Here is a 7718-nt window from a genome sequence, read left to right as displayed (position 1 = left end):
AGGCTTGTTAACAAATGCACAATTACAGGTAGACAGGAGGGATATGCTCTAGTGTTCTACAGCGCAGTACGGTGACTACAGCTAACAATATATTGTACGTTTACAAGTAGCCAAAAGAGAACATTTTGTATGCTACCAACACAAATAAATGTTAATGTCTGAGCTGATGAATTTTCTCATTGTTCTGATTTGGTCAAACCACATGGCAGAGATGTATTGAAATATCACACTGTACCCCATAAACACAAACAATCATTATCTGCCTACCTAAAAAATCCTTTAATTAAAAAGGATTGTATTGCCATACATTACAAGTGATTCAACACAGAGCCTGGAAAAAACACCATTTTTATTTGAAATAGTGAAATTCCTAACAACATAGTTACACTCATTTGCACCAAGCTGTGTATTTGATCATGGTAAGCATAGACAGACTTATGCATAGAATAATATATTTTAATTACAGACTTCTACTTAATACTATAAATGCCAATAAATTTAAAACAACTAAGCAAAAGGAATAAGGTTGATGAAATGTGTGTGGTGTGTGATGTGAGCGCTTTTTCTTTAACCACGCTGTCCATGTTGGATGTGCGGTGTGTGTCTGTGTCTGTGTTTACTCTGCTTGAGGTTCTCTGTGATTCTGGGATCTGTAGTTCAGTGTGTTTCACAAAATTGGGAACATTCTTAACCATTATTTTTTCAAATACTTTCTCTGTATCTATAATTTCTACTTTTCAGAATTAAAGTATACATTTACTACACTTTTGATATTGTTTAGTTTCTTCACTCTTTTCCTTTGCAATTTACTTGTTAAATTTCTAGTGACATTTTAAGTGCATGGTTTCATTTAAAAGCTGAGCCAGCTCTAATGAGGGGTGTGCCCAAAGATTGCTCAATGTTTATACTGCATTGCTTTTGATTTCTCATGCATTTCCATTTGATTACTTCTTAGTATTTTCATCTCTCAGTTCCCTATCTAGTCCTGCATTATGTCCACAGTTTCTTCAAGAGATTTTTACATATGAATTATAGTTACATTATATATCTTATTTAATTAGTTATAATACCTGTATCTTTTATAAATCCCTTTCTGATTATTTCTTTATTGTGACTTTGGCATTTCTCATTAATATATATAATAATCGTTGTTGATAACCAGACATGTTGGGTTTGACAGTTAATACTGGCTTATTTCATTTTATCCATTTTCTGCCTGTATTTGACCACACTTTATCTTCGCCAGGCAATTATTGTGGAAATGTCCGTGAATCTTCTCACAGCTACATTTGACATTTACTTTTGCAGTGGACATCAGAGTTGAAGTCTGTTCTGTGTCCACCAGAGACTTCAGATCCTCCAGTGATACCTTGTTTTTCTTTCCTGCTTGGCTTTGTCTCATCACCTGTTCCCTCCTCCAGAGAATCTCTTTCAGCTCCTTCAGGTGGGTTAAAATGTTATATTTAACTGACAATAGTGAAATTGGTTGAAGGCAATAGAATAAAGGGAGATTTTGCGACTTTTCCTGGGTCCATATTGTGATTCTGAGTCTGGGTGTGAGCTTTCCAGTGTTTCTGAACTTCCTCCAGATGAGATGTTGGTCTGCGTGTTCTTGCTCTTTTCCTGGGTAGAGTCCTCTTGTTTTCCCCAGTTGTTCCCTCCCTCAGCTCCAGTGTTCTCTTTTGGTGTTATCACCTTCCAGATTTGATGACCTGACGTTCAAATTAAGGCTCTGATTAAATAAGGAGGCAGCAAACGCCTGGGCAAAAAGCCGCGGCAACAAAAAGCCTCGCTGACGGGGGGAAAACAGCCGCAACGGCGGGGGCAAAAACCTGCAAAAAGCCGCGGCGGCGGAGCCAAAAAGCCGCGGCGGCAAAAAGCCACCGTGGCGGGCGCAAACAGCCGCAAAAAGCCGCGGTGGTGGGGGCAAAATCAGCGGGAGCTGGGGCAAAAAACCACAAAAAGCCGCGGCGGCGGGGGGAAAAAGACGCGACGCCAAAAAGCCTTAGCGGCGGGGGCAAAAAGCCGCGGCGGGGGGGCAAAAAGCCGCAGTGGCAGGGGGTCAAAAAGCTGCGACGGGCAAAAACCCGCGGCGGCAGGGGGGGCAAAAAGCCGGGGCGGGGAACAACCCGCGGTGGCGGGGGGACAAAAAGCCGGGGCGGGCAAAAATCCGGGGCGATGGGAGGCAAAAAGCCACGGCGGGGATAAAGCGGCGGTGGCGGAGGGGGCAAAAAGCCGCGGCGGCGGGGAGGCAAAAAGACGAGGCGGGCAAAAAGCCGCGGCGGCGGGGAGCAAAAAGCCACGGGGGTAAAAAGCTGAGTCGGGGTGGGGGTAAAAAGCCGCGGCGGCGGGGTGGCAAAAACCCAGAGCGGGCCAAAATCCGCGACTGCAAAGCCGCGGCGGGCAAAAAGCCGGGGCGGCAAAAAGCCGGAGCGGGCAAAAAGCCGCGGCCGGCAAGCCAGGGCGGCGGGGTCAAAAAGCCGCGGCTGGTAAAAAGTCGCGACGGCGGGGGGCAAAAAGCCGCGGCGACGGGGGCTGGGCAGAAAGCCGCGGCGGGGTGGGGGCAAAAAGCCGCGGCGGCTGGGGATAAAAAGTCGCGGCGGCGGCGGCGGCGGCGGCGGCGGGCCAAAAAACCGTGGCGGGGAAAAAGCCAAGGCGGGGTGGGGGCAAAAAGCTGCGGGGGCAGGGTGTAAAAAGCCACGGCGGGGAAAGCGGCGGCGGGGGGCAAAAAGCCGCGGCGGGGGGGCAAAAGCCTGAGCGGGCAAAAAGTCGCGGCGGCGGGGGGCGAAAAGCCGCGGCGGCTGAAAAGCCGCGGAGGCAAAAAGCCGCGGCCGCGGGGGGGTTGGGGGGGGGCGGGCAGAAAGCCGCGGCGGCGACGGGGGCACAAACCCGCAGCGGGCAAAAAGCCTAGTCAGGGTGGGAGCAAAAAGCCGCGGCGGCGGTGGGGCAAAAAGCCACTGGTGGCGGCGGGTAAAAAGTCGCGGCGGCGGGGGGCAAAAAGCCGTGGCGGGTAAGAAGCCGCGGCAGGGGGGAAAAAGCCACGGCGGGGGGGGCGGGGGGCAAAAAGCTGCGGCGGCAAAATTCGCAGCGGCGAGGGGTCAAAAAGCCGTGGCGGGCAAAAAGCCGAGGCGGGGTGGGGGCAAAATGCCGCGGCGGGTAGAAAGCCGCGGCGGCGGCGGACAAAATAGTGGAGATGGGATAGAAGGCTGGCACAGCTTGGCATTGCTGGAGTGTGATGTGATGGGAAATGTGCAGCCAAAGACAAAAAAAAGATGTAAGTAGGCTTGACTCATTGCAGCTAAGAACCCAGATGTTATCTTGAGGGTATTAACTAATAAGCAGTTTAAATCAGAATGGCACATTCTGATTTGTTTTTTGTATGTTCACATTTGGCAGGCATAGATACTGTTTGAAGAAAGAAAAGTCAGTAGAGAGACGTAACAAACTTCAATATGTGTCAAGTCTAGAAACAAGAGACCAGGGGGTTAAGGACCTTTCAAAATAAAATGCAAGATTTGAAAACTGATTGGCTGGGGGATGAGGAAAAGGCAGGTCTTTAAGGTCAATCCCTGTTTTGCTTTAAGTTGTTAGGGGGTGGTTTTATCACATATTGTAGAATATGTCATTTCAGTTTTGAACATCTGGAGTTAAATTGTCCTAACATATCTTATGAATTTGATTTTCTTCCCTGGGAAGCTAATATTTCAAAAACTTAAAGAGTATATAGATTTCCAACTTGTATCCAATTTATGAAACTATCTCTAGGCTGCTGATTTCAGGAGGAGGCTCATGAATATTCTCTTTGCAGAGAATATATCAGGAGTTAACAACAGCTTCAATATTTGTGGACGACCAGTTAACTAAGCCACCTCTTAGTGTATTTAGATGGGAAATCTTAGCTGAAGATATTCAATAATGAACCAAGAGTGACTAAAAAATTCAATATTGAAGTATATTTCATTGTAATTAATTTGAATTGAAGTAGCCATATACAGCTAGTATTTACTACATTGAACAATGCAAATAAGAGGAAAAAATTAATAACCATCTCTAATACCACATGCCAAAATCCTCATCAATTTATTCTAGCTAAAGGAGTTGATCAGAAGCAGCAGTTGAAAGCACCAACTAAACCAGCTGGGGTTAGTTCACTGTCATTCTCTCAGAACCCTCTCTTCTCTGAACAAAACAAGTACAAGAGTTCATTGTGAATCTGCATTCTCCTTGCGTATTTTAAGGTTTTGATGTTGACACTAATTTGTGAAATCCTCCTGTGGTGTGATATTTCGTTTTCCTTGCTTTCTGTTAGGACAAGAATGCTTCAGCTCTTAATTTAAAATTATGTTTCTCCCTTCTAGGTTGAGTGAACTTAGAATGCATTCTCTGACATATCCAAGTTTTTGTTAATATGAATTTTGGGAAAAAAGCATACTTAATTAGCTAAGACTTATTATTCTAGGCTTGACCCTATGTTCGACATCTTTTGAATTTCTAGTTGCATGGGCTGCTCTCTGACACTGGTTAGTGACCTGGAAGCTGTATTAATGTTAGGGGAGGTGGTGTATGAGCATTAGAGGTATCCTTGCAAGGAAAGACTTGTCGTATGTCAATACGTCTTTTTTTTTGCACACAAGAAAGTCAAAGTTTGAGTCTTCTAAAATCTTCCCATTTCCAAGTTGCAGAGTACCACTGATTCCTAAACAAAGACCTAATTTTTGACTCAGAGACGTGGCGAGGTAGTGAATCACCATTATAATGTAACAATCTTCAAGATAAAATTATCTCTGATATTTAGATTTTGCCCAATTATTAAGATATTTGGGTGTTTCGTTAAAAATGGAAGACTCTAGTCTCTTGAGCAGAGAATATAAAGGCCTCAGATGATCATTTTTAATTTTATGTTCTTTTCTTTAACACCTTCAACACAGTTGGAAGCAGCCGATATTCCCCAGAGTTGTTGTGTTTTTTAAACCAAATGCATGGTTCAGTGGTAGAAAACTGGGCTGATCCAAGCTGTTTTCAGTAAACACTTCATTTCAGGTGACCTATTTCATATTAAATAATCTCTAGATCCTGTCTTTGAAACTAACTAGATCAGATAACCTACCCTGGATTTTCTCCTTTTAGGGTCTGTGAGCTGCAGTCACTTTTGTGAAAATGATTGCAATGACAAGATAGAGTTGTAGATGGGGAAAATGTTTTGACTAATTTAAGCATAGTGGTATTTCTTATGAGAATTTAAGTTACACACATTTGAAAATTATAATGGAGTCTCTTGGCTGAGCTTTTAAAAAAATAGTGTTTAGGCTAAAAAGGGAACTGCTGCCTCTCCTAAAATCAGAAAGATGTTACAGTAATTCTCCATTCTCTAGAATTATCAAGAAGCACCTTTGTGATGATTTACTTTTGCTCTTGGGCGTGTGAGCCCGTGTAGTTGTGGAACCATCAATTAGAATGGTGGCTTTCTGATCCCAAAGTCATTCGTTCTGAAAACAATATTTTTCATAAATTTGAAAGTGAGAAGTTTTGATCTTGCCATTCCCAACTAACTCTCTTAATAAGAGGCATCAGCATGCTTCAGTGACAGCTGTCACCTTCCAGTGCTGAGAGTCATCTTTGAGTTCTCCATTTCACTCCCTACACTCCAATTTAGCTGCAGTTCTCTTGTCCAGTCCTATGAAATACATCCATGGCCTAATGACTTCTCACCACTACTACCACTCATCCTGACAGCATTCTCACCTAAGTCACTACCTTTTTTCTCTGGATTAGAGTAGCGTCCCCATTTATTTGCTCACATAACCTATTTATTCTACACAGTGCACCAGATACACCCCTTTGAAATGGAAACACTATCATGTTATTCTCTGGTGAAATTATCTCATATATTCCTATCGCATTTAAAATTACTTCAGAATCATCCCATGATTATCAAAACCCTACATGCTCTTCCACAACATGGTTTACTTCCAAGATATCTCTTCAACTTTTTTTTCACTGTACTGAATTGGTGACTAATAGTCATATTTTTGTTTTTGCTCAAAAAGTCTTGACTTGTAAATTTTTCAGTTTCTCCTTTATCCACAGGTAACTCTTTCCTCATAAGGCGAATTGCTTGCTTCCTTGAGTTCTGCTCTCAAAGATACCCTTCATTATCTACCTAATATTAATAACTTTAATCATTCATTATTCCATTACTATGCTCTATAGTGTATACAATTTCTGTTCTTTGTCATGTTATTAACTAAATTATTTATTTGGTCCAGTAACGTATTCCATAAATATTGTACACATAAAAATTATGTTATTTTTATTCCTGTATGCGCAGCTGCCCAATAACAGTCTGAGGATTAACATATTTGTTAAATGCACAAATACATTCTTTCACAAATATTAGTTTAATAATTTTATATTAAACTCCCTCTATACTTACAATATGAATTAGATAATTCAGAATAAACATTCCATTGGAAAAAACTAAACAATTTGTTATAAAAACATCCTTAAAAGCATCAGAAAGTTAATACAGCAATGAAGAATGACAGGACCAAATTAAGAATGGTATGAAAGCCTGTTTGTGACGCTTATGTTTGGGTTATCTCTTTACTTAGAGTGACTATAAATCTCAAAATAGAACTAAAGTGAGAAATAACCGTATCTACTAATATGGTAAGGGTACTTAAACATCTCTTAGTAATTGAGAAAATTGAAAGAAAAGAAAAAAGAGAAAGAGAGAAAGAGAAACAGTGGAAGGGATAATGAAGGAGAGAAAGAAGAGAAAGGAAGAGGAAGAAAAGTAAAAGAGGAGGAGGGGGAAGGAGGAAGGAAGAAAGGTGAAAAGAAAGAATGGTAAACTTTTTAACAACATAATTTATCCTTCTAGAATATGAATTTTGGTCTATTTGATGATGTCCCACAGATTCATTAGTCTCTGCTCCTTGTTTATTTTTTATTCTTTCTGTTTCTCAGAGTCAGTATTTTCCATTTTCTTCTCTTCAAGTTCATGGCTTCTTCTGTGTGTGCAAATATACTCTTAAATCCCTCTGGTGATTTTTAAATTTTTATCATTATAGTTTTCCACTCCAGAATTTCTGTTATCTCTTTGCTGATATTCCTACTTTTTAATATTTTTTCTGATTCCTTTATTTCTTTGTTTATGTTTTCCTTTTGACATTTAAGTATAATGAAGAGAGTTGTTTTAAAGTCTTTGTCTAGTAAGTTTGATGTCTGGGTTTCCTTAGGGATATTTTCTGTCAATTTGTTTTGTTCCTTTGAATGAGCCACACTTTCCCATTCTTTGTATGCCTTGTAACGTTTTTTGAAAACTGGACATTCTAATAATTATAATTACTATGTGGTTACTTGGTAAATCAGACCCCCCCTACAAACACAGTAATGTTTTGTGGTTTTAAATTTTCTTTATTTATTATATTGTTAAGGATTTTTTTTTTTTGAGTGAAATTTTCCAAAGTGATTTACAAAACTGTTTGCTTTATAAGGTGTGGTCACCGAAGTCTTTTTGTTTCCTTAACAAATGTTAAGCTAATATTTTGACAGTGATTTTCTTGTATGTCAGGAACCAATCAAACAGGCAAATACAAGAAAAACAAAAAGAAAAAAAAGTAATCATTGTCCAGCAAAATATGTCTCTAGGCCATGCAGACTGGCTTTGTGCTGGGTTCTTTAAAGCCGGGACAAAGTGTGTGTTCACTCTTGCA

The sequence above is a fragment of the Homo sapiens genome, chromosome 15 (genome assembly GCF_000001405.40).
Source record: "Homo sapiens chromosome 15, GRCh38.p14 Primary Assembly".
In the NCBI taxonomy this organism is placed as follows: domain Eukaryota; kingdom Metazoa; phylum Chordata; class Mammalia; order Primates; family Hominidae; genus Homo; species Homo sapiens.
Note: the sequence above shows the minus strand (reverse complement) of the source record.